A 25,359-nucleotide genomic window follows, 5' to 3' on the forward strand; every position below is an offset into this window, starting at 1 on the left:
GATCGCTTGACCCCAGAAGTTTGAGATCAGCCTGAGCAACATAGGGAGCTCCCTCTCTATAAAAAAATTTAAAAAATAACCAGGCATGGTAGCACGTGCCTGTAGTCTCAGCTACTTGACAGCCTGAGGTGGGAAGATCCCTTAAGCCCCAGGAGGTCAAGGCTACACTGAGCCATGATCACACGACTGCACTCTAGCCCAGGTAAGAGGGAGACCCTGTTACAAAAAAAAAAAAAAAAAAAAAAAAAACACAGCTACTGGATAATGACTGGGAGGGACAAAATGATCATTTTAGCAGAACACCATAATGTACCCTTGCAGAAGGTAGGAAACTATCATTAGGCCAATAGGGATTGTGCACTAATCCATTCCTCATGTCTTTTGCTCAGTCACGTATCTGCATCTTCTCTATAGTGGCTGCTCAAGTTGAAGCTATCCTAAGGCATGAGTGATTTATTAAGCCATATGCCAATTATTTTCTACATGGTGATTAAGATTCTCACATCCTCAAATCATTACATCTAAATGAGCAAAGTCTCCCATCATAAAAAGGCTATGATGGCCAGGCACGGTGGCTGACGCCTGTAATCCCAGCACTCTGGGAGGCCGAGGTGTGCAGATCACCTGAGGTCAGGAGTTTGAGACCGGCATGGCCAACATGGTGAAACCCCATCTCTACTAAAAATACAAAAATTAGCTGGGTGTAGCAGCGCAGGCCTGTAATCCTAGCTACTTGGGAAGCTGAGGTAGGAGAATTGCTTTAACCCGGGAGGCAAAGGTTGCAGTGAGCCAAGACCATGACACTGCATTCCAGCCTGGGAGACAGTAAGACTCCATCTCTAAATAAATAAATAAATAAATAAATAAATAAATAGGCTGTGACAATACTAAGGTCAGTTTACACTATGTAAGTAAACTTCTCAAATAACTGTGGATTAATAGTTCTGTAACAAATGGATAAAAGTTTCTAAGGAAAAGCCACAAAGCTGTATTCTTAACCACATCCTTTTCAAATTTTTATCAATGACTTGAATAATAAAATAGAAGAGCTGCTTATCAAAGCTGAATGTGACCAGAAGATAAGCACTATTCAGTTTTTGTTTCGAGACAGGGTCTCTCTCTGTCGCCCAGGCTAGAGTGCAGTGGTGCGATCATGGCTTACTGCAGTCTCGACTTTCCAGGCTCAACTGATCCTCCCACCTCAGCCCCCAAGTAGCTGAGACTACAAGCGCATGCCACCACACCCAGCTAATTTTTATATTTTTTGTAGCAATGGGGTTTCAGCATGTTGCCCAGGCTAGTCTCAAACTCCTGGGCTCAAGCGATCCTTCTGCCTCAGCCTCCCAAAGTGCTGACATTACAGGCGTGAGCCACCGCACCCTGCCAGTACTATTAATAATACACATGTAATCAATATCCAAAGCTTTCATAAAGCTAAAATAATATACAAAAAGCATCTAAATAAAGTTTAACAGAGATATGCAAGTACACATTTAGGCTTTAAAAATTGTATTTCACTAGTTTAAGGTGAAGAAGAAGTGGCTTGTCAGCAGTTCATATGAGAAATAAAGCTTCAGTGCAAATAAGTTTAACAAAAACCAAAAGAACAACAAGGTAGCTATAAAAACTAAGGCAATTTTAGGTCACAGATAGAAAAGAATGCATCCAAAACAAGTATCCTAAGAGTAGTGAAGTGTCTGGAAATCATGGAGCAAACTGAAAGAACTGGAGGTATTTAACATGGAGACGAGAAAAGGGAAACATCACGGCAGTCTGAATATCTGAGATACTGTCATGGGAATAAAAGTGGACACATATGTCCTCTACTGGTATTCCTCAAACCATCTGTGGTAAAGGGCCACCTTTCCTTCCCCAACCACTGGACACTTCTGTAAAAATATAGTAAGAATACCATGACCACTGAAAATTCCTATAAACTTTTTTTTTTTTTTTTTTTTTAGGACGAAGTCTCGCTCTTGTCCTCCAGGCTGGAGTGCAATGGCACAATCTCGGCTCACTGCAACCTCCACCTCCCAGGGTCAAGTGATTCTCCTGCCTCAGTCCCCCACAAGTAGCTGGGATTACCGGGGCCTGCCACCATGCCCGGCTAATTTTTGCATTTTTAGTAGAGACGGGGTTTCACCATGTTGGCCAGGCTGGTCTCAAACTCCTGACCTCAGATGATCCACCCACCTTGGCCTCCCAAAGTGCTGGGATTACAGGTGTGAGCCACCATTTCCAGCCTGAAAATTCCTATAATAATTTCTAAATGCTCACTCTCACTTTCTGTGTTTCATTAAATTGTGAACAGGTTACAAGTTCATAGATTTCCTACTTCAAGTACCTGTATTCCATCCATACCAGAAAAAAGAACCAAATCAAAGGGAATCATTTTGTGGGAAGTTAAATTTCCACCTGATGTAACAAAGAATTCCTAGCCCATAGTGTTTCCAACAGTGCAATGGCACCGAGAGAACTGAGCTCCTTTGGGAAGTATTCAGAGGAAAAATAATTTTATCTGTTAGATAATCTAAAAAATGTATTCCTACTTTGGAAAGGTGAATGGATTGGATTAAAACATCGTAGAATCTCTCCACTCTCCAAGATTCTGAGTCCAATCAAAAGCAAATACACACACATACACCCTCAAAGTAGCCAAGAACTAATCAATCATTAGCATACTATTAGCATACTCACAAATCAGTTATGATGTATTAGGTAGGATGTACGAGCAAAGGACTATGAAATTGACAAAGCATATGGAAATCATAATTAAGCCCTAAGTAAGTGAGAAGTATGAATAAAGCACCACCATAATCCTTTTTAGTCCATTACTGATGGTACAAGTACACTCTCAGGTTGCCTCTTCAAAGTTTAAACCAGTCCTCGCAAATCAAAACACAAAACAAGGATAAGCCTTTTCCTTTTTCCTAAAAGAACTATTGATAACACCTTTGCCGTCTTAAATTCTCACCTCTGAGTGACCTTCAGCCACAAAGATTTAACCACAGTCTCTACCTTGACCCTGCCCTAACTGTACTACTGGCATACACTACTCCTGTTCAATCTTCTGGTCAATCATCTTCTAGTGGTAACTACTTAAACCACTCCTCCCCTACCACAGACTTATGAAACTAGAAAAGGATCTCCTCCTATACAAATTTCTGATCAACAGTAATTTCAGATTCTCAACCATGCAATATAAATAGTTGTAGAAATATTAAAATAGTTTAATACTCAGCCACGTGCTATGGCTATTACCTCTTTGCTACACTCCCTCAGCCCCCCTCCAAATCCATCCTCCATAGAAATTGACCTAATGCCTAGCAACTCCATCAACTTCTAGCTTCTTGTTGCTCCTCAGGTACAAATACTACACAGTAGTCTACCATACCTTTTAACAACCAAAATTGGCCCCAAAGTCAGGTCTTTTCACCAATTACCACAGGCACAGTACATTCCTCCTTTAGAATTTTAAATGAATGCCCCCAGGAAGAAGACTCCTACAAATGAGTTTTGTAGTTGCATTTAAGAAATTTTTTCACAGCTAATTTTGTGCATTATTTCCCAAAACTCTAATCTGAAATACCACTGGTAATTAATGACTCATTTTCTTAAGAAGAGCAACAGTGACATAAAGAACTTAAAATACAAAACAATGAAAGCAAACCTGTTATAGAGAGAACGTTAAAGCACACAGAAAAATATTAGCAGGTAAGTTTAAGTGACAGAAAAGGAAATTTTACCCCTTGATTATTAAGGAGTATTTAAAATCACAGGAAGAATACACATCCACAAAGCAAAAATCACCATCTACTTGGCAGATTTTTTTAAAATCAGAAACAAAATCTATCGTAGACTCACATTAAAACATGAGTACTCAGACTGTTCTACTTTGAAATTTTCCTGGAATGTTAAGAAATCACCTGTAAGGAGCCCTTTTCCATAAGTTCTTTCAGTGGCATGAAGACTTTAAACATTTTTAAGTATGAGCTCCAAAATAAATTCTCAACTCTGAGAAACATTTGAAAATCACCTGTTTTGTCTCTCAGTATTCTGGAGCTCCCTGTGGTCCCTTTTCAGGTGTTTGGTCAAAGACGTAAAGTACTCTTTTAAAAGATTCTGGAAGGGCTGTTGTTTCTCTGGACTAATTATCTCACTAGGAGGAAAACTCAAATTAAACTTCTCTGCAGCACTCTTTACTTTCCTTGGTACAAGTCCAGCAATATCATCTCCACAATGTCGACAGAAACTAATCACTACAGAGACATGAGTGTGGGACTCCCGATCAGCATTAATAATATTTTTTAGCTGTTCATAGATTAAGGAAAGACCTTCCTTGTCAGTGAAAATCCCAACTATTGTCAATTCTGCAATAAAACGCAAATCAGTTCTTAACTTGGTGATGTTAGGTGTTTTCTCCTCTTTCCTTGCTTCAAAATGTTTTTTCCAGACCTGAAGAAGTGATGGGGCAAAGTCAGCATAACGCTGGTGAAAGAGAGAGCAGAGGTGCACAGCACAGTTCACATCAGAGATTTTTAGTTTTGCTTCCACGATGGAAGCTACAGCTTCTGCAATGTATTTGCTTAAATTTAGGCCATTAAAATCATGGGACAAGGAGTCTCTCTGTTGTTCTGTAATAGTTTTTAGTTTCTTGACAAAAGCAGTATTTTTCTTCAAACTTGAGTCGAGGCGGCTGAAGAAGTTTTCCTCTGGTCGGCTGTCCGGAGCATTTTGGTTTTTGCTACGAAGTTCCTTTCTTAAATGATGTCGTTCCCAAGCTTCCTGATGAAGCTGAATGGATTCTTCTTTTTCTCTATATAAAAACAAACAAATAAATAAAATACTCTCTACATTTTGAAGCATTATACACAAATCCCCTAAGAGTAAAAAGCCAATGAAAAAAATTATCTAAGTATAACAATCTACAAGATTCAAAAGGCCTTTCACTACTTTTAAAGACATTTTACTGGCCAGGCATGGTGGCTCATGCCTGTAATCCCAGCACTTTGGGAGGCCAAAGCAGACAGATCACCTGAGGTCAGGAGTTCAAGGCCAGCGTGGCCAATATGGTGAAACCCCACCTCTACTAAAAATACAAAAATTAGCTGGGCGTGATGGCGCTCACCTGTAGTCCCAGCTATTCAGGAGGCTGAGGCACAACACTTAAACCCAAGAGGCAGAGGTTGCAATGAGCCAAGAACGTGACACTGCACTCTAGTCTGGGCGACAGAGCAAGACTCCGTCTCAAAAAAAAAAAAACAAAAAAAAAACACATAAAGACATTTTACTAACGACTAACGATAACAAGTATTATCTTAATGAGAAGCCCAGTACTGGAGGTCGATAACAAATGTCATAGAGCAGAGGATACTGACACTAGATTAAAATTAAAAATCATTCTGCCAACTGGCAAGCTAACTAGGTAAGACATATAATGCTACTGTGAAAAATATAGTATGTTTGGGAAGGATGTAAAATGTGAAACAAATAAAAGCAATGGGCAAAGAGAAAAAAAAACAATTATACACAAAGAATTATTTAAAGAATTAGCACTACAAGACCAGATGTGGTGGCTCCCAGCACTTTGGGAGGCGGGTGGATCACCTAAGGTCAGGGGTTCGAGACCAGCTTGGCCAACATGGTGAAACCCCGTCTCTACTAAAAATACAAAAATCAGCCAGTCGTGGTGGTGGGCACCTGTAATCTCAGCTACTTGGGAGGCTGAGGCAGGAGAATTGCTTAAACCTGGGAGTCGGAGACTGATGCTGCAGTAAGCCAAGATCTCCCAACTGCACTCCAACCTGGGCAACAGAGCGAGACTCTGCCTCAAAAAATAATAATAATAATAATAATAATTAGCACTATAAAAGAATGCATTAAAAATGTTTTGAGGCCTGGGCAGTGGCTCACGCCTGTAATCCCAGCACTTTGGGAGGCCGAGGCAGGCAGATCACGAGGTCAGGAGATCGACACCATCCTGACTAACATGGTGAAACGCCATCTCTACTAAAAATAACAAAAAATTAGCAGGGCATGGTTGCACGCGCCTGTAGTCCCAGCTACTCAGGAGGCTGAGGCAGCAGAATTGCTTGAACCCGGGAGGCGCAGGTTGCCGTGAGCCAAGATCATGCCACTGCACTCCAACCTGTGTGACAGAGCAAGACTCTGTCTCAAAAAAAAAGGCCAGGCACGGTGGCTCATGCCTGTAATCCCAGCACTTTGGGAGGCCGAGGCGGGTGGATCACGAGGTTAGGAGATCGAGACCATCTTGGCTAACACAGTGAAACCCCGTCTCTACTAAAAATACAAAAAATTAGCCGGGCGCAGTGGCAGGCACCTGTAATCCCAGCTACTCAGGAGGCTGAGGCAGGAGAATGGCATGAACCCGGGAGGCGGAGCTTGCAGTGAGCCGATATAGTGCCACTGCAGTCCGGCCTGGGCGAAAGAGCAAGACTCCATCTCAAAAAAAAAAAAAAAAACAAAACAGTTTTGCAATGTTAGATATTGTTTTTCCATCCTCAGCACATTAGCCAAACCTTTAACAAAGTACCTTGCTATGTTTGGGCTCTTAAAAATTCAAGTGATTTAGAAAATTTGGAAAGGAACCAGAAGACAACTATCAAATAAGAAACTTAATAAAAACCTAGTAGACTCAGTTTATACTGAAAAGAATAACCAAAAACAAATATACCTATTTTTCCACTAAAAAGACAGAACAAGTTTAAATTGCAGAAGTAATAAAATAGGCACGAGTGAGGGGCAACAATCTGATTTTGAAGTTTATTGAAGTTTTTGAGATAACAAAACACATAACTTAAATCTCCACTTTGTGAAGCTGAGGTGGGAAGAGCCCAGGAGTTAAGACCAGACTGGGCAACATAGTAAGACCCAATCTCTACAAAAAAATTTTAAAAATTAGCTGGACATGGTGGCACATGCCTGTAGTCCCAGTTACTTGGGAGGCTGAGACGGGGGGATCGCTTGAGCCCAGGAGGTTGAAGCTGCAGTGAGTCATGATCACACCATAGCTCTCCAGCCTGGGTGACAGAGTGAGCCCTGTCTCAAAAAGTTATACGCATATCTATAAATCTCTAAAAAAGTACATTTTCATCTTTCTGAGATAATCACCCCTGAGTTATAAGATAATTATTTGATTTTTCCATTAAAAGCTACAATATATTAACAGAAAGGTGGCCTCTATCACTGAGAACATGGACAGTTGAGTATCTCTTTGAAGTCTCCCAGCAACACACAAATACAAAATGAGCAGTGAAAGTACATTTTAAGAAAGTATGTACAAGGCTGGGTGCCGTGGCTCACGCCTGTAATCCCAGCACTTTGGGAGGCCAAAACGGGTGGATCACCTGAGGTCAGGAGTTCGAGATCAGCCTGACCAACATGGAGAAACACTGTCTCTACTAAAAATACAAAAATTAGCCGGGCATGGTGGCACATGCCTGTAATCCCAGCTACTCGGGAGGCTGAGGCAGGAGAATGGCTTGAACCTGGGAGGTGGAGGTTACGGTGAGCCGAGATCGCGCCATTGCATTCCAGCCTGGGCAACAAGAGTGAAACAACTCTGTCTCAAAAAAAAAAAAAAGAAAGAAAAGAAAAGAAAGTATGTACATACATTAAATAACTCAATTTTCAGCTGCATTGAAAACACTTATATATCGAAGTTTTTATGGGTAAATGCTATGATGCTCTACAATACTCCAGGGGGAAAAAGTGGGTAATTATTGATGCTAGGTAGATGGGGGACTAGTTCACTATACTATTCTATTTTTGCATATATCTGAAATTTTCCCAGGAGCTCAGGAGTTCAAGACCAGCCTGGGCAACACAGCAAAACCCCGTCTCTACAAAAAATACAAAAATTAGCCAAGTATGGTGGTATGCATCTGTAGTCCCAGCTACTCAAGAGGCAGAGGCGGGAGGATCACTTGAGCCCAGAAGGCAGAGATCGCAGTGAGCCAAGACCAGGCCACTGCACTCCAGCCTGGGTGACAGAGCAAGACCCTGTCTCAAAAAAAAAAAAAAAAGACTCTCTTAAGAATCATGGTTCTGAATATTCCAAAACTAGGCACTACTATAGCTTTGCAGACCTAAGGCTTCTGTTCCTTATTAAAAGAGGTCCTGGCCAGGGGTGGTGGCACGAGCCTGTAATGACAGCTACTCAGGAGGCAGGAGGAATCACTTGAGCACAGGAGTTGGAGACTGCAGTACGTTATGATGGAACCTGAGAATAGCCACTGCACTCCAGCCTGGGTAACAACAGCAATGCCACCATCACCCCCCCAAAAATGGGAAGAAAGTAGAAGTCCTAAAGAACAACTCTGAGAAGAAAGGTGGCTGTTCTAGAGATCTATACAAAATCGTGCTTGCAAAAAGGTTTTTAAATTATATATTTGGCCACGCAAAGTAGTGTACATCTGTAGTCCCAGCTACTAGGGAGGCTGTAGTGGGAGGATCGCTTGAGCTCAGCAATTACAGACTAACTTAGAAAAAAAAGAAAGACACCGTTTCCAAAAACGATTTTTTAGGCCAGGCATGGTGGCTCATGCCTGTAATCTCAACACTTTGGGAGGCTGAGGCAGGAGGACTTCTTGAGTCCAAGAGTTCAAGACTAGCCTGGGCAACATGGTGAAACTCTATCTACAAAAAGTACAAAAATACCCAGGTGTGGTGGCACGCACCTGTAGTTCCCGCTACCAAGGAGGATGTGGTGGGAGGATGGCTTGAGCCTGGGAGGTCAAGGCTGCAGTGAGCTGGCATTGTACCACTACACTCCAGCCTGGCTGGAGTTTGTTGAGCTCTTGTTATGTTACCAGGCACTGTACAAAATATATTAGCAAATATCCTTAAGACAGTACCAATGAAGTTAAATTCTACAAGCCTCATTTTAGAGATCAATAAAATGAGGCTTAAAAAGGGTAAGTTGCCCTCTTAAATTAAAAAAAAACTTTTTTAGTTAAAAATAAATAAGTTATATATTTATGCTTTCCCTTATTTTTCTTCATAGAGACAGGGTCTCGCTATATTGACCAGGCTGGTCTTGAACTCCTGAGCTCAACCAATCCTCCTGCCTCAGCCTCCCAAAGGGCTGGGTTTACAGGCGTGAACCACCATGCCCGGCCTAATAAGTTTTATATTTAGAGAAGAGCTTATGCTATTCAACAGTAGTCACTGCTGATGCATCTCTGGTGTTTCTCCTGTAAGAACTACATTTTTCACTAGTTTATTATTTACTTGCACAGGTTTACAAGCTTAAAAACAGATTTAAATAAAGATAAGAATGGAAGGCATTGTGGAATTGTGCTTAATGAATAGTCAAAAGTTTTAAAGTCAGACCAACCTAGCTTTAAATCCCAACAGCTCTACTATTTGCTGTGACCTTAAGCAACTTACCCTCCTTAAGCTTCATTTTGTTAATCTGTAAAATGAGGATCATAAAACTTACTTCACTGGGATTGTCCTAAGGATAGATGCTAATATATTCTGTACAATGCCTGATAGATAAGAACTCAACAAACATCAGCCAACTGAAGGTTTTCAATTTTTTTAAAAAATGGAGTACTATCATACCATGAAAAAAAGTTTTTATTTTATTATTTTATTTTTTTTTTTTTGAGATGCAGTCTTGCTCTGTTGCCCAGGCAGGAGTGCAGTGGCACAGTCTTGGCTCACTGCAACCTCCACCTGCTAGGTTCAAGCGATTCTCCTACTTCAGCCTCCTGAGTAACTGGGACTACAGGCATGCGCCACCATGCCTGACTAATTTTGTATGAAAAAAAGTCTTTAAAAAATAAACAGCCAGGTGCGGTGGCTCACACCTGTAATCCCAGCACTTTGGGGAGGCTGAGGCGGGCGGATCACCTGAGGTCAGGAGCTCAAGACCAGCCTGGCCAACATGGTGAAACGCCATCTCTACAAAAATACAAAAATTAGCTGGGCATGATGGCAGGTGCCTGTAATCCCAGCTACTCGGGAGGCTGAGGCAGGAGAATCACTTGAACCCAGGAGGCGGAGGTTGGAGTGAGCCAAGATGGTGCCATTGCACTCCAGTCTGGGCGACTGAGCAAAATTCCGTCTCAAAATAAATAAATAAAAGATTACCCAGGACCTCAAAACAGTACTCATTAAAGATTGTTACTATTATTTAATTTGAATAATTAACACACCTTAAGCATGCCTCTAGTCAGTGAAACTAACAGAACAAGTAAATTAAGATACTCCCAATTCTTAAAGAGCTGCACCCAGGACGCTATATTTCAAATAATGTTTTTTTCCCAAAATATTCCAATCTTCCCATTCCCTCACATCAATAAATACAATCAACTGCCTTACTTCATCTGAGCAGCTGCTTCTTCTTCTTGCTGACGTTTGGCCTGCTCTTCTTGCTTCTTTCTCTCTTCCTCTTGATGTTTCTTTTTTTCTTCCTCTTCTTTTTTCTTTGATTCTTCCTCTGCCTTCACCTTTTCTTCGTCTTTTTTCTTGCGTTCCTTGTCTTCCTTTTTTCTCTTATCATCTTCCAGTCTCTTCTTCTTGTCTTCAGGGGCCTTGCTGACCTCCTTCTTGGCAGTGAGCTTGATATCGTCTTTTGGCCTCTCCTTGCTGCTCACTGTCCGCCTTTCACTGCAGTCTTTTTCCTTGTTGTTTGGTAAAGAGTCTTTTTCTTCCATACTTGCTGGCTTTTTACGCTCAGCTGGCATTATGTGACCCAGGACAATCTGTAAGAGGGAAAGAATGTCAGTACCATAGATGCAGTGACTTTTTAAAATGATATCACACTATTTTTTTAAACAGAACATATTAATGCAACTTGGCAATTGTAAAAGAGTAAATAAAGGCAGGTAAAATGAATACTATTTCTGTTACAAAATAAGTTATTCATCACATTCCACATCCTATCATTATTAGTTAGGCCTATGTCTAAGTACTTGTTTTTTACTTTTTATAAGGAAAAATCCAAGCCCAGACAAAAGTAGAGAGCATAATATAAGGAACCTCCACGTACCCATCACTCAGATTCAGCCACTATCAACTCCAAAACAATATGTCATTTAATTGTAAATACTTCAGAATATATCTGTGAACATTTTGAGTCAGCTTTAACCCTAGCATTTGACAACCATGAAAGATGGCAGTTCACTATTTCATATAATATTCAATGTCAGTATTTCAGCTGAGAAAGGAAACAAAAACAAGCCCTTGCCTCCTATATGTCAACGGACAAAACAGAACAGCGGACTCACGAATCTCACTTCATTGCTCTAACCTTATCATCAAACTTTCAGATACAAAAACTGTTAACTATCTCAAATTAAACTAGACTTTTAACTTCTTCATCTGTATTAGTTAAAGTTAATTTATAAATAAACATGAACCTAAAATCCGTATGTTCTGTGCTATATCTGTCAATACAGAGTAGCTATTAGCCCAGGGTTTCTAAAGTTCAGCACCATTGACAGTTTGGGCAAAATACTCCTTTGGTTTTAGAGGAAAGGGGTCACCATGTGCTCTGTAGGAGGTTTAGCAGTGTCCCTGCCTGCTATGCAGTGCATACAAGTAGCTCCTCCCTCATTTTGACAACCAAATATAACTCCAGACATTGCTAAATATCCGTCGGAGAAAAAATTATCACCCAAAAACTGCTGCACTAGTCATATGTGGTTACTTAAATGTAAATTAATTAAAATTAAATAAAATTTGAAATTCAGTTCTTCAGTCAGTATCTGTATTTCAAGTGCTCAATTCCACATGTGACTAATGGCTTCCATACACAGCAGGGCAGATACAGAACATTTCCACAGAAAGTTCTATTGGATAGCATTGGCCTATAGTACAGGCTTATAGTTAACTGAAAGTAACTGTGGAACAAAAAACTATACTTTGCAGGAAAATTCTGAATTTTTCTTTTCTAAAAATATATTTCTCTACTCAGAACTAGTTGTCTAATTTCTTTTAGGCATGGTGTTTCACGTTTTAACTCCTAAATTATCTAAGAGTTGTATATAAGAAAATCAAAATTCGGCCAAGCACAGTGGCTCATGCCTATAATCTCAGCACTTTGGAAGGCCAAGGCAGGCAGATTACCTGAAGTCGAGAGTTCGAGACCAACCTGACTAACATGGAGAAATCTCGTCTCTACTAAAAATATAAAATTAGACGGGTATGGTGGCGCATGCCTGTAATCCCAGCTACTCGGGAGGCTGAGGCAGGAGAATGGCTTGAACCCGGGAAGCGGAGGTTGTAATGAGCCAAGATCACGCCATTGGACTCCAGCCTGGGCAACAAGGACAAAACTCCGCCTCAAGAAAAAAAAGAAAATCAAAATTCTATTTTAGAGGTAGAAAATTACCTAAATTTCTTAGTTTTATGTTTTCTTTTTGAAACAGGGTCTCACTTTGTCGCCCAGGCTGGAGTGCAGTGGCACAATCACAGCTCACTGAAGTCTCGACCTCGCAGGCTCAAGTGACCCACCTGCCTCAGCCCCCCAAGTAGCTGGAACAGTAGGTGCTCAACACCACATCCAGGTAATTGTATTTTTAGTAGAGATGGGATTTCCCCATGTTGACTAGGCTGGTCTCGAAATCCTGAGTTTAAGTGATCCATCCACCTGGGCCTCCCAAAGTGCTGGGATTACAGGTATGAGCCACTGTGTTTTTGAGCTTTAGTGTTTTTGTTTTTCTTTTTTTTTTTTTTTTTGAGTCTCGCTCTGTTGCCTAGGCTGGAGTGCAGTGGTGTGATCTCGGCTCACTGCAACCTCCACCTTCCGGGTTTAAGTGAACCTCCCACCTCAGCCTCCCAAGTACCTGAGATTATAAGTGTGTGCCATCACACTCAGCTAATTTTTGTATTTTTAGTAAAGATGGGTTTCACCATATTGGCCAGGCTGCTTGAATTCTTGACCTCAAGTGATCCATCTGACTTGGCCTCCCAAAGTGCAGGATTACAAGCATGAGCCACAGTGCCCGGCCAGCCCTTCGTTTTTTTTTATTAAAAGCAATAGTATCCTTAAATATTTTCAAATATAGGTTTTAAATTACAGCACTTAAAACTAGGTTACCAAAAAAAGCATTTGTAATATTGATATTTTTTAAATACAAAAATACTTTACTTCAGTACTCTATTAAAATGTTAATTTCACAGAAAGCAACCTAGACCAACAGAAACACTTTAATTTTTGCAGGTACATGCCACAGCCTGTACCTTCTCATAACTACCTTTTTCCTTCTCCTTTTTCTTTTACTCCCTCATTGCTCTCCACTCCCTTGTTCTATGCATTTATTTTGACAGTGACACCTAATAGCTGTAGTTAACCCCACTGGTAAAACTCACAACAACAACAAAAAAGCTATTGGGCCTATTTTTAAAATCGTCATTAGGGGCTGGGTGCGGTGGCTCATGCCTGTAATCCCAGCAATTTGGGAGGCCAAGGTGGGCGGATCACCTGAAGTCAGGAGTTTGAGTCCAGCCTGGCCAACATGGTGAAACCCCATCTCTACTGAAAATACAAAAATTAGCTGGGCGTGGTAGCAGGCGCCTGTAATCCCAGCTACTGGGGAGGCTGAGGCAGAACTGCTTGAACCCAGAAAGCAGAGGTTGCAGTGAGCCAAGATCATGCCACTGCACTCCAGCATGGGCGACAGAGTGAGACTCCATCTCACACACACACACACACACACACACACACACACACACACACAAATTACCTTTAATATATGAAAAAGCAGGCTGGGCACCATGGCTCACTCCTGTAATCCCAGCACTTTGGGAAGCCAAGGCAGGCAGATCACTTGAGGTCATGAGTTCAAGACCAGCCTGGCCAACATGTGGAAGCCCCGTCTCTACTAAATATACAAAAATTAAACAGGCATGGTGGAGGGTGCCTGTAATCCCAGCTACTCGGGAGGCTGAAGCAAGAGAATCGCTTGAACCCGGGAGGCGGAGGCTGCAGTAAGCCGAGATAGCGCCACTGCACTCCAGTCTGGGCAAAAGACGGAGACTCCGTCTCAAAAATACAAAAAAAAACAACAACAACAACAAAAGAAAAAGCATTTCTATGCCAAGACAACATTAGCATTTATATTATCTATTTTTTTAATTTAAAAAAAAACTGTTTTAATAAAATAGAGACAAGGTCTCAGTACGTTGCCCTGGCTGGTCTCACACTCCCGGGCTCAAGGGATCCATCCTCCCGCCTCGGCCTTCCAAAGTGCTAGGATTACAGGTATAAGCCACTATACCCGGGCAGCATTTCTATTATCTAGAAGTGTAGTTATTGATTCTTATACATTTTCAATTAAATATCCAACTTTAATGTGAAAACATCACGCCCTTAAAGCAAGCAAACTTTCAAAAAGACTATAATACTAATACACTACTCATGGTACCATACTAAACATTTTACGTATATTATCTCATTTAATACTAAAATCTTTATGAGGTGGGTATTATTTTCCCTATTTTATAAATGAGTAAACTGAGACTTGACCAAGTAACTTGACCAAGGCCTGCACAGCTGGTGACAGAATGGGAATCTGAACCCATTCTCTGAACCAAAGAATCCTAAGAGTACCAAATTGTGAGATGGGAGACATGCTGGTAAATACTGACTATAGCAACCCACAGAATTATGAATCTCAAGAGTAGAAAGAATCCTTCATAATGGTTAAGGAGTTCTCATGTAATGTTTTTAACTTTTAGCAGACTCTGGCTGAAACATATGGGGACAATTTAATATCTAAGGTAATAACATGATCTTATTGAAGGATATTAATCATTAAGTGAAAAAAGTTTATATAGATTTCACATTTTCTGATGTGACGCATCAACAAGTAACATTTCAGGACCACAGGACACTACAAAGAATGGCATCAGAACTTACAATTATGTCTCTCTCTCTCTCTTTTTTTTTTTTTTTTTGAGATGGAGTCTCACTCTGTCGCCAGGCTGGAGTGCAGTGGCACGATCTCGGCTCACCACAACCTCTGCCACCCGGGTTCAAGTCATTCTCCTGCCTCAGCCTCCCGAGTAGCTGGGATTACAGGCATGTGCCACCATGCCCGGCTAATTTTGTATTTTTAGTAGAGATGGGGTTTCTCCATGTTGGTCAGGCTGGTCTCAAACTCCCGACCTCAGGTGATCTGCCTGCCTTGGCCTCCCAAAGTTCTGGGATTTACAGGCATGAGCCACTGTGGCTGGCAGCATGTCTCATTCTGAAGATAAAATAACATCTTAAATTTTTCAAAGAAAAGATTAAGAAATTCATGTAGTATCTGACAAATTCACAAAGATCATCATTTATTAGTTCAACAAAGTCCCAAACTTTCATGACTCTTTAATAAGATTCATGTCTTCATTAAATTTTAAGTACTTAGTATAAGAAATAAAGCTGCAGTAGGCATGCAAGAATTAGACTCGGGGCTGGGCATGGTGGCTCATGCCTGTAATCCCAGCACTTTGGGAGGCCGAGGCAGGTAGATCACGAGGTCAAGAGTTCGAAACCATCCTGGCCAACAACATGGTGAAACCCCATCTCTACTAAAAACACCAAAATTAGCTGGGCGTGGCAGCACACGCCTGTAGTCCCAGCTACTCAGGAGGCTGAGGCAGGAGAATCACTTGAACCCGGGAGGCGGAGGTTGCAGTGAGCCAAGATGGCACCACTGCACTCCAGCCTGGCGACAAAGCCAGACTCCGTCTCAAGAAAAACAAAAAACAAAAAACAAAACAAAAAAAAGGATTAGACTGTACCCTAGAACATAATAAAACAGATTCTCCGTAAAACCCTTAAGTCCTGATACTGGTATCTCCTTTCAACCACTTCATCCTTACATTACAAGCATACGCCCAAAGTATACTTGCGACTAAATTTCCGTAAACAAAAAAAAAAGACAAAAATCTAGAAGTTCATGAAGAGGCAGCAATGCAACTTGTGAAAACAACATACATGGGCTTGGAAGTCGGACTGATTTTAAATCTGCATCCCAACTCTGCAGCCTGATAGCTACAGAAATCAGGCAACAACTTCTCTGAGTCCACTTATTTATCAATAAGATGGATATACTGCTATCTATCTTGTAGAGTTCTTAAAATTCTAGCATAGTAACTAGCATGAGGGAGGCATTAATAAATGTTCTGTCACAAAGAACACTGAGAAGTTCAGCATACAATGAAAGATTTGTAAAGTCAGATAAAGACTATTAGATTTTATCTACTTCTATCCTCAATTTTTACATTCCAAGGATAGCAGCAGAGTCACCTACCCAAGATTATATATACAGCTAGTTTCCGTGGCTGGACCAACACTCACTACCCAGTGCTTTTTCACTACCTACACTAAAACGAATAAAATATACAAACACCGTGATTCACCTCAATACACGTTTGTTTTATGTCGACTTAAAAAACTGAGCACTAAGTGATATTTAATAAAATGCTAAAATTCTTATTTCAATAACTTCAAGCTTTAACAGCCAAACTTTTCATCTAAAGTGTTTCCAAAAGTTTTTCAAGTCCAAATACAATTTTAAATAGGTCCTTTCTCAAGATAGTGAGGAGAAAAAGTCGTGATCTTTTCACTGGAATCCGATTAGCTGTTACAAATTAGTTTGCTGAATACAATTATATTCAGACTACCCTTAAAAGGAAACCATGCTTTAAAACCACCTTCCTAGCTCCCAAAATAGTGTCCTGTCACTTGAACTGTATATTTTATTTGGTATTCTAAATACATTCTGAACTTCCAAAAGAAAGTAAAACTAATTTACTAGAAGTACCAATGGAGTGTATTGGGGGGAAGAGGGCACAAAAGGGGGTGTTTCCCTTTTAAAGACATTCCCTTGCAAAGTACCATATGGATTATGTATGAAATCCCAATCAGAGTGCTCCGAAAACACTCCAGTATGAGAGAATGCGGTTTTACCTTTCAATTCTCTTATTCAAAATGCTGTCAGGACAGAACAGCACAGGAACACTATCTCCCAGTTTCTGACTTTATTTTTTAAAGAACATCCTTAGTATAAAGGACGTATTAAGAACTGTTAGAAATTGTACCAGCTCACAAATGAGGAGACTGACGATGTTAAGGAACACCTAAGAACTATGGAAATGAGATAAAGCGTCAGCGAGGGTTTCACTTTGATCTGATGCATCGTTTCGTGTCGTGTAAGTCCTCTAAGATGAGCAAGAGAGCTGAAGGTCCGATCACCCCAGCGTGGACCCAGCTGGCTCTGCTCTGCCAACCTGGGGACCAAATATCCTGTGATCACTTCCTTAGTCCAACAGTCCTAGCAAGAAGAGAGTGCTTGGCGCCTTGAAGAGGTGAAGGTAAAGTGAAGAATCAACCAGCCTATGTGATTAAAAGGAAGTCAACCAAACAGCCCATGCCCACCATCCCCAGATACACCCCAAGCCCCTTCCCCTACACATACCTCTCCTACAAACCCCTGCTCTGGTGGTGTAGGAACCTCTAAACCCACCACACTTCCCCGACACAACTCCCCTTCCCACAGGTATCCACGGTCACCTTCGCGGACCATCGCTGCCCCAACCCCAACTTCTCGCCCCACACTCCCTCGCCACAGAAGCCTTCCCGGCCGGTCTCCCCACTCCGCAGCCTCCCACACACGCGCCCTCCCCACTTTCTCGCCCTCGCTTCCCTCCCGGCTCTCGAGGAGCTTCCCCCGACCTCCCCTCGCTCTCCTCCACGCCCCCGAACACTTTCGCCCCTCCACCGCGGGCTCCCCGCCTCCAGTCTCGAGGCCCGGCCCAGGCATGTGGGGCAGGCACCTCCTCCACCGCCCCCCAAGCATGGCCCGGCCCGGGGGCTCCCGCGTTGATGGGAGCCTCGGAGACAGGGGGTCTGAGGAGAACGACGCCGGACCCGCGGTCCCTCCACTGCTCGCCGACCCCGGAGAGCTGGAGTGTGGAGTCGCCTCTGGGGTCCCCCAGGGAGTAGGAGTCTAGGCCGGTGCCCCCCAGCCCCATTTCCTCCCGATCGTTGGAGCGGAGGGGAAGGAGGATCCCCGGGACTCACCTCGAGCCTGTTGTCAACATTAGCCCCGGGTTTCCCAGCACCAACTCCAGCGCTCGGGCTCTCCCCTCCCCTCCCCCCACCTATCTCGCAGCCGAGGGCCCGCCTTCCCTCAGCTCCCCCTCCTCCCTCCGCCCGCCAGCCCTCCCGCCCGCCACTCACCAGCGCGGCCGGGCTGAGAGTGGGGGCGGGGCGGAAGGAGGCGAGAGGGAAAAGGCCATCCGCGCGACTGCCCGATTAAAAACAGTCCTGATCGTCTTCCCTGCGGCATGCCGATGCCCTCAGCTTGACTCTGGGGTGGCGGGTCCGGGGCAAAGGCTCATATGAGTGCCATTCACTTAACAGCTCTTTCAAATTCCCCAGTCGATGAGAAGAGCGAATTTTTCAGACTGGCAATACGTAAGGTAGCCACTACCAGCACCTCAAACCAGGGCCCCAGCGGAGGGGTGGAGTGTTCCGAGGACCCGAGGCAGGAAGTGGATTGGTCGCCAGGAAAGGGAAAGCGCCTGAATTGGAGCTGCGCAGGCGCAGGCGCTTCGCGGGGGATGGGGGTGGGAAGCGCGAATGGGGCGGGGCGGAGCTCACGGGAGGCGAGGAAGTGTGGTGGAATAGTGGGAGGGTTACGGAGCGCCATTAAGGACAAGCCCGGCCACGTGATTCTCCTGGGCGTTTCCTGGTGCGAACCTAAGGAAGAGGTCTAAGAAGAGAAAGTTTGATTGGACTAATTCGAGGGGAGACGTTGAAGATTTAGAAAATTGGAAACTGGAGAAACTAAACCATATGGCTGGTTTGGGAGGTGGGAGTCGCTTAGGAATGGGTCTAGTCTTAAGAATGCCCTAAAAGACATCGAAAGTCCTGCGGGGGGATTTCCAGAAGCACTTCTAGGTGTTCGACGTAAAAACCACCCAGGGCGAAGAAGAATCAAGGCTTTTTCCATACACTTCTTAGAAAGTACCTGGTTCTAGCAAGCAAACTTTTAAAAATTACAGTGGCAAGACTTCCCTGAGTTATCAAATCACCCATTTTAAAAAAAAAATGGCTAGCGTCGACATTTCTTCTGAATGCGAACCCAGGCCGACTTTCAAAAATGGGTATCAGTTTATCCACACTGCTTATTTCCTCCTGAATTGCTGAAATGGTGCATCTGGCCTCGAAACAGTACTGGGTTCTGCCAACATGATCCGAGTAGGTGGCTCTGGCTGGTCCGGAGCTAGAGGAACAAGGGTGCGAAACTGGTCTTGACGTTTGCTTGACTTGAGGGGGCCCCACCTGGTGCCCAAGCCCACGTAATGAACTACTACCAACCACAAATACTTGAGGCAAGTCCAGGTTCCCTATGACTCAACCTTTGCCCATTTGCCTCTATTTACTGTTTGCTTCCCCATTTACTCTTAGCACGCAAATTATCCTCTCATACTGAGTGTTGCTGCTTCCTGTATTTAAAAATATATATTTTTTATACACTACACATAGGTCAGTCATTTAAAGGATAGTGAAAGAGAAAGATGAAGGCCGGGCACGGTGGCTCACGCCTGTAATCCCAGCACTTTGGGAAGCCGAGGCGGGCGGATCACAAGGTCAGGAGTTCGAGACCATCCTGCCTAACACGGTGAAACCCCGTCTCTACTAAAAATACAAAAAAAATTAGCCGGCCGTGGTGGCACGTGCCTGTAGTTCCAGCTACTCCGGAGGCTGAAGCAGGAGAATGGCGTGAACCGGGAAGGCAGAGCTTGCAGTGAGCCGAGTTTGCGCCACTGCACTCCAGCCTGGGCGACAGAGGGAGACTCCGTCTCAAAAAAAAAAAAGAGAAAGATGAATACTGCTATTCTGCAGCATTGATAAACAATTATGAGAACTGCCCCAAATACCATATTGGTGATAGCCACCCACGCTTCTCTTCAAGGTTTCCTTTTCCCATTTCATGGGATTACCTTAAGAAGCTTTACTTCTGGCTGGTGCGGTGCCTCATGCCCGTAATCTCAGTACTTTGGGAGGCCGAGGCTGGTGGATCACCTGAGGTCAGGAGTTCCAGACCAGCCTGGCCCCAATATGGTGAAACCCAGTCTCCACTAAAAATACAAAATTAGCCAAATGTGGTGGCGAGCGCCTGTAATCCCAGCTACTCGGGAGGCTGAGGCAGAAGAATCACTTAGAACCCGGGAAGCAGAGGTTGCAGTGAGCCGAGATAGCGCCACTGCACTCTGGACTGGGCAACAGAGTGAGACTCTGCCTCAAAAAAAAAAAAAAAAAGAAAGAAAAGAAAGAAAGAAAAAAGCTTTACCTCTTTGTTAATAAATATAATAAATCCTTCTCATCCTAAATCAAGTCAACCTTTGTCTTTAATCAGGTGTTAAAAGGAAATCACCTAAAATCAAAAAACAGGAGGGCCTTTTTGTTGAGAATTTGCTATTTCACATTTGTGATTTTAGTTCATCGCAATCACCATTTTATAAAAATAGAGTCAGATGAATTTACTATCACAAAACTAATAAGTATACTATCTAGTATTCTCAAATCTAACTCCAAAAACCCAAGTTCTTTCTGCTATGTCTCTATGCAAACTTTTACATAAACTGAGAATGCTGCCAATCATTTTACTTCCAAAGACAGATGTCAAGCTAGCCACCAAAAGCCTGATGTGGGAATATCATTGTAATCTCTTAACTAGAAAAAACACCCCGCTCTGAAGAGGCCATCATTTTTTTATTCGGATAATAATTCAAACTTCATGATTTTCTGAAAATACATTCTCAAGATGAATTTTTGAGAAAAGTCTCAAAAATGTTCATTGTTATTTTTGCCTGCTCCAATTGACAGAACTGTTCTATATGGGGAAAAAAGAGAATGAAACTATTTAGTTTTTATTTAGACCTACACGATACTACTCCCTACTTAAAACCTACCTAGTGGCAGCTTCACAGACGAAAGCAAAGGCCAGGCAAAGAGATTACAATTACGGAGCAGGACAAATCCTGAGTTTAAGGAAAAGAAAAATGCATCAGATGAAGCCAACCAGCTATAACTACAGCCTCTGCCCACTGACCTCAGAGAACTGGGAGTGTTCTGTTCCATGAGGAAATCCAGCTTTGATCTTTTAGAAGCCGATGTTTAACTAACCTAGTTTAAGCTGCTTTTTAAAAAATACCCACCTCTTGGTATATCTCTGGTAGAAATTTTTTCAGCGTTCCCTCTATCTGCTTAACAGTTTCCAAAAGTAAATGTGTTGAGGTGTGTCCCTTCAATATGAAATATAAGCATCGGCCGGGCGTGATGGCTCACGCCTGTAATCCCAACACTGGGAGGCCAAGGCGGGCGGATCACCTGAGGGCGGGAGTTCGAGACCAGCCTGGCCAACATGGTGAAACCCTGTCCCTACTAAAAATATAAAATTAGCCAGGCTTGGTGGTGTGCGCCTGTAATCCCAGCTACTCGGGAGGCTGAGGCAGGAGAATCGTTGAACCCAGAAGGCGGAGGTTGCAGGCAGCCGAGATCACTCCATTGTACTCCAGCCTGGGCAACAAGAGCGAAACTCTGTCTCAAAAAATAAAAAAAGAAAAGAAATGTAAGTATTGAGGGTGCATTTAAACAAATATAAACATACGAAACGTATTAGTACTTATTACCAAATCATGTTGGAATTTCTTGTGGAACTGTAAGATGAAAATCAGTTCACTAACACTGGCTTCTCTGAATTCCACCAAAACAGAACACAAGCAATGTGAGATTAACCTGTTTTATTTTTCAAGCTTTTAATGTGGCTAGTCAAAAAAGTAAATTAATATTGGCTTGGCCGGGCGCTATGGCTGACACCTGTAATCCCAGCATTTTGGGAGGCCAAGGCGGGTGGATCACCTGAGGTCAGGAGCTCGAGACTAGCCTGGCCAACATGGTGAAACCCTGCCTCTACTAAAATACAAAAATTGGCCGGTCATGGTGGCGGGCGCCTGTAATCTCCACTACTCGGGAGACTGAGGTAGGAGAATTGCTTGAACCCAGCAGGCGGAGGTTGTAGTGAGCCAAAATTGCGCCACTGCACTCCAGCCTGGGCAACAAAGCGAGACTCCCTCTCAAAAAATAAATAAATAAATAAATAAATAAAATGATAAGACTTATAAAGTACTTAGAACAGCACTTGGCAAGCAGTGAAAGTCCAATGAATGAGATTACAATCTAATGCAGGAGGTAGATCGTAAATAAACAGATAAAAACTGTGATGGTTAGAATAAATGCTCAAAGGGAAAAAGGGTAACATCATGCAGAGTAACAGGAGAGAGGGAAGAGGGAGGCTGCTTTATAGTCAGGAAAAGGCTCTTGAATGATTTAAAATTTGAGGTAAAACCTGGAGAATTGGAAGTTCCTGGTTATGCAGCTAGAAATGTCAAATGGGCACTTGGAACACAGGGGAGAGCTCCAGCCTAGAGATGAAATTTTGAAAGTCATCCGAACAGACAGTATTTAAAGCCATAAGAATGGATGGGTTCAGGCCAGGCACAGTGGCTCACGCCTGTAACCCCAGCACTTTGGGAGGCCGAGTAAGGCAGATCACTTGAGGTCAGGAGTTTGAGACCAGCTTGGCCAACATGACAAAACCCCATCTCTACTAAAAATACAAAAATTAACCAGGCATAGTGGCGAACGCCTGTAGTCCCCGCTACTCCAGAGGCTGAGGCAGGAGAATGGCGTGAACCCGGGAGGCAGAGGTTGCAGTGAGCCGAGATGGTGCCACTGCACTCCAGCCTGGGCAACAAGAGCAAGACTCCGTCTCAAAAAAAAAAAAAAAAAGAATCGATGGGATCACCCAAGAAACTGCAGCAAAAGAAAAAGGTCCAGGACTCAGCCCTGAGAAACTTCCATATACAGAGGTTAAATATCTAAAAAGGAGACTGAATAAAGAAAGGGAAAACCAGGAGAGTGTGGCGTCATGAAAGCCAAGAAAAGAGGTGCTTCAAGAAAGGAAAAGTGGGAAGCTGTCTTCTGTGTTACTAGGACAGCGAAGAACATGAGGACAGAGAAGTGCTTGTTGCATTAACAATGCGGGAACGAATGCTTACCTTGCAGATGCAGGTCAGTGACGTGGTGGGGACAGATTGGAATGGTTGAACACTAAGTTGGAGATGGAAACAGTGGAGTAATATTTGAGAAATTATGTTGAGAAGAGCAGCAGAAAAATGTAGCCATAGGAAAATGTGAGAAAAGGGAGGAATCTGTTTGGTTTTGCACCTTTTACTTTTGTATATTTTTGGTATTTTTACATGACAGATAAAAGAGGATATGTGGGGGTTTTTTTGTTTGATTGTTGATTTGTTTGAGACAGAATCTCGCTCTGTCGCCCAGGCTGGAGTGCAGTGGCACGATCTTGCCTCACTGCAACCTCCACCTCCCAGGTTCAAGTGATTCTCCTGCCTCAGCCTCCCGAGTAGCTGGGACTACAGGGATGTGCCACCACACCCAGTTAATTTTTTTTTTTTTTTTTGAGATAGAGTCTCACTCTGTCATCGGGCTGGAGTCCAGTGGCACGATCTTAGCTCACTGCAACCTCTGCCTCCCGGGTTCAAGCAATTCTCCTGCCTCAGCCTCCCCAGTAGCTGGGGCTACAGATGCACACCGCCACGCCTGGCTAATTTTTTGTATTTTAGTAGAGATGGGGTGTCACTGTGTTGCCCAGGCTGGTCTCGAAATCCTGAGCTCAGGCAATCCACCCACCTCAGCCTCCCAAAGTGCTAGGATTACAGGCGCCCGCCACCATGCCCGGCTAATTTTGTATTTTTAGTAGAGACTGGGTTTCTCCATGTTGGCCAGTCTGGTCTCGATCTCCTGACATCAAGTGATCCACCCGCCTGGGCCTCCCAAAGTGCTGGTATTACACAAGTAAGCCACCACACCTGGCCCTGGATTTCGTTCTTAATCATTACAATTTTTCAGTGAAATTTGAGGCACGGTCATCAGCTAAGAGTGAGATGAGGGAGACAGTTGGGCAGGTTTGAAAAGAGAAGAGAAAATGTGAGAGAGACTGAAGAGTGTTGAAAGCCAGTGAGCTGCCCCTTAGGGATTTCCAGGTTATGCTGAGCAGCTCCTTCAGCTCTGAGGTCATGAGTTGAAAGTAAAACCAGAGCCAGGCACGGTGGCTCACGCCTGTAATCCCAGCAATTTGGGAAGCCGAGGCGGGTGGGTGCATCACCTGAGGTCAGGAGTTTGAGACCAACCTGGCCAATATGGTGAAACCCCATTTCTACTAAAAATACAAAAATTAGCCAGGCATGGTGGTGAGCACCTGTAGTGTCAGCTAACCAGGAGGCTGAGGCAGGAGAATCACTTGAACCTGGGAGGTGGAGGTTGCACTGAGTGAGATCATGCCACTGCATTCCACCCTGGGCAACAAGATGGAAACTCCATATCAAAAAAAAAGGAAACTAAAACTATCCAGCCTCACATGCCAGTTTCTTTGTTTTTTTCTTTTCTTTTTTTTTTTTTTTGAGACAGATTCTCAATCTTGTCACCCAGGGTGGAGTGGGATCTCAGCTCACTGCAATCTCTGCCTCCTGGGTTCAAGCAATTCTCCTGCCTCAGCGTCCTGATAGCTGGGATTACAGGTGCCCAACACCACGCCTGGCTAATTTTTTTGTATTTTTAGTGGAGACAGGGTTTCACCATGTTGGCCAGGCTGGTCTCGAACTCCTGATATCAGGTGATCCGCCCACCTCGGACTCCCAAAGTGCTGGGATTACAGGCGTGAGCCACCGCACCCCGCTGGCACATGCCAGTTTCTCCAGAAGATATGGAAAGTTAGGTTTAATCACAGTTGGGCTTTTTTTTTTTTTTCATGATGGTAATGACAGACAAAGAGTAAGGGAATCGAGGGTGTTTGCAAGAGAATGATTAGAATGGAGGATCATGGAACCTAAGCTGGGCGAGGAGGGAGGTGAAGGGAAAGGAGGAATGCATGAGTGTGGATGGGGAAGATGGACAGACTGGAGTAAATAAAAGCTGCAAAGAGGCCGGGTGTGGTGGGTCATGCCTGTAATCCCAGCATGTTGGGAGCCCAAGGCGGGCGGATCACTTGAGATCAGGAGTTTGAGACCAGCCTGGCCAACATGGTGAAACCCTGCCTCTACTAAAAATACAAAAATTAGGCAGGTGTGGTAGCTTAAGCCTGTAATCTCAGCACTTCAGGAGGCCGACACGGGCAGATCATTTGAGGCCAGGAGTTCGAGACCAGCCTGGCCAACATGGTGAAACCCCATCTCTACTAAAAATACAAAAAAGTAGCCAGACGTGGTGGCACAGGCCTGTAGTCCAAGCTACTTGGGAGGCTGAGG

At 43.4% G+C, this 25,359-nt stretch overlaps 1 protein-coding gene and 1 long non-coding RNA gene across 6 annotated transcripts in view, besides 5 other annotated features; both read right to left on the bottom strand.

The window, feature by feature from the left end:
* The window catches only part of UPF2 (UPF2 regulator of nonsense mediated mRNA decay), a 123,149-nt gene extending 104,687 nt beyond the window's left edge, over nt 1–18,462 (bottom strand). For 4 of the 5 annotated variants that reach the window (NM_015542.4, XM_047424986.1, XM_047424987.1 and 1 more), the window contains exons 1-3: nt 18,047–18,101; nt 10,351–10,733; nt 4,037–4,816 (exon numbers count right to left, since the gene is read on the bottom strand). In NM_015542.4, the coding sequence (NP_056357.1) occupies nt 4,037–4,816; nt 10,351–10,715 (1,145 nt within the window). In that variant the 5' untranslated portion in view covers nt 10,716–10,733; nt 18,047–18,101. Of the gene's footprint in view, nt 1–4,036; nt 4,817–10,350; nt 10,734–18,046; nt 18,102–18,205 lie in introns of those variants that run through there. The other variant, NM_080599.3, reaches the window with a different exon arrangement.
* Nucleotides 3,137–3,206: an enhancer, noted in NCBI's record as "active region_3029". NCBI's record gives its function as "activates an Ori minimal core promoter by ATAC-STARR-seq in GM12878 lymphoblastoid cells {active_cell/tissue: GM12878}" and the evidence as "EXISTENCE:reporter gene assay evidence [ECO:0000049][PMID:35858748]".
* Nucleotides 17,009–17,098: an enhancer, noted in NCBI's record as "active region_3030". NCBI's record gives its function as "activates an Ori minimal core promoter by ATAC-STARR-seq in GM12878 lymphoblastoid cells {active_cell/tissue: GM12878}" and the evidence as "EXISTENCE:reporter gene assay evidence [ECO:0000049][PMID:35858748]".
* Nucleotides 17,619–17,668: a silencer, noted in NCBI's record as "silent region_2134". NCBI's record gives its function as "represses an Ori minimal core promoter by ATAC-STARR-seq in GM12878 lymphoblastoid cells {active_cell/tissue: GM12878}" and the evidence as "EXISTENCE:reporter gene assay evidence [ECO:0000049][PMID:35858748]".
* Nucleotides 17,689–17,828: a silencer, noted in NCBI's record as "silent region_2135". NCBI's record gives its function as "represses an Ori minimal core promoter by ATAC-STARR-seq in GM12878 lymphoblastoid cells {active_cell/tissue: GM12878}" and the evidence as "EXISTENCE:reporter gene assay evidence [ECO:0000049][PMID:35858748]".
* Nucleotides 18,269–18,518: an enhancer, noted in NCBI's record as "active region_3031". NCBI's record gives its function as "activates an Ori minimal core promoter by ATAC-STARR-seq in GM12878 lymphoblastoid cells {active_cell/tissue: GM12878}" and the evidence as "EXISTENCE:reporter gene assay evidence [ECO:0000049][PMID:35858748]".
* On the bottom strand, nt 19,091–21,369 carry LOC105376416 (uncharacterized). The gene is made up of 3 exons (XR_930666.2): nt 21,193–21,369; nt 20,947–21,015; nt 19,091–19,253 (listed from the first exon to the last, which is right to left on the bottom strand). It is a non-coding gene; the product is annotated as an uncharacterized LOC105376416 (long non-coding RNA).

The sequence above is a fragment of the Homo sapiens genome, chromosome 10 (assembly GCF_000001405.40).
Source record: "Homo sapiens chromosome 10, GRCh38.p14 Primary Assembly".
Taxonomy (NCBI): domain Eukaryota; kingdom Metazoa; phylum Chordata; class Mammalia; order Primates; family Hominidae; genus Homo; species Homo sapiens.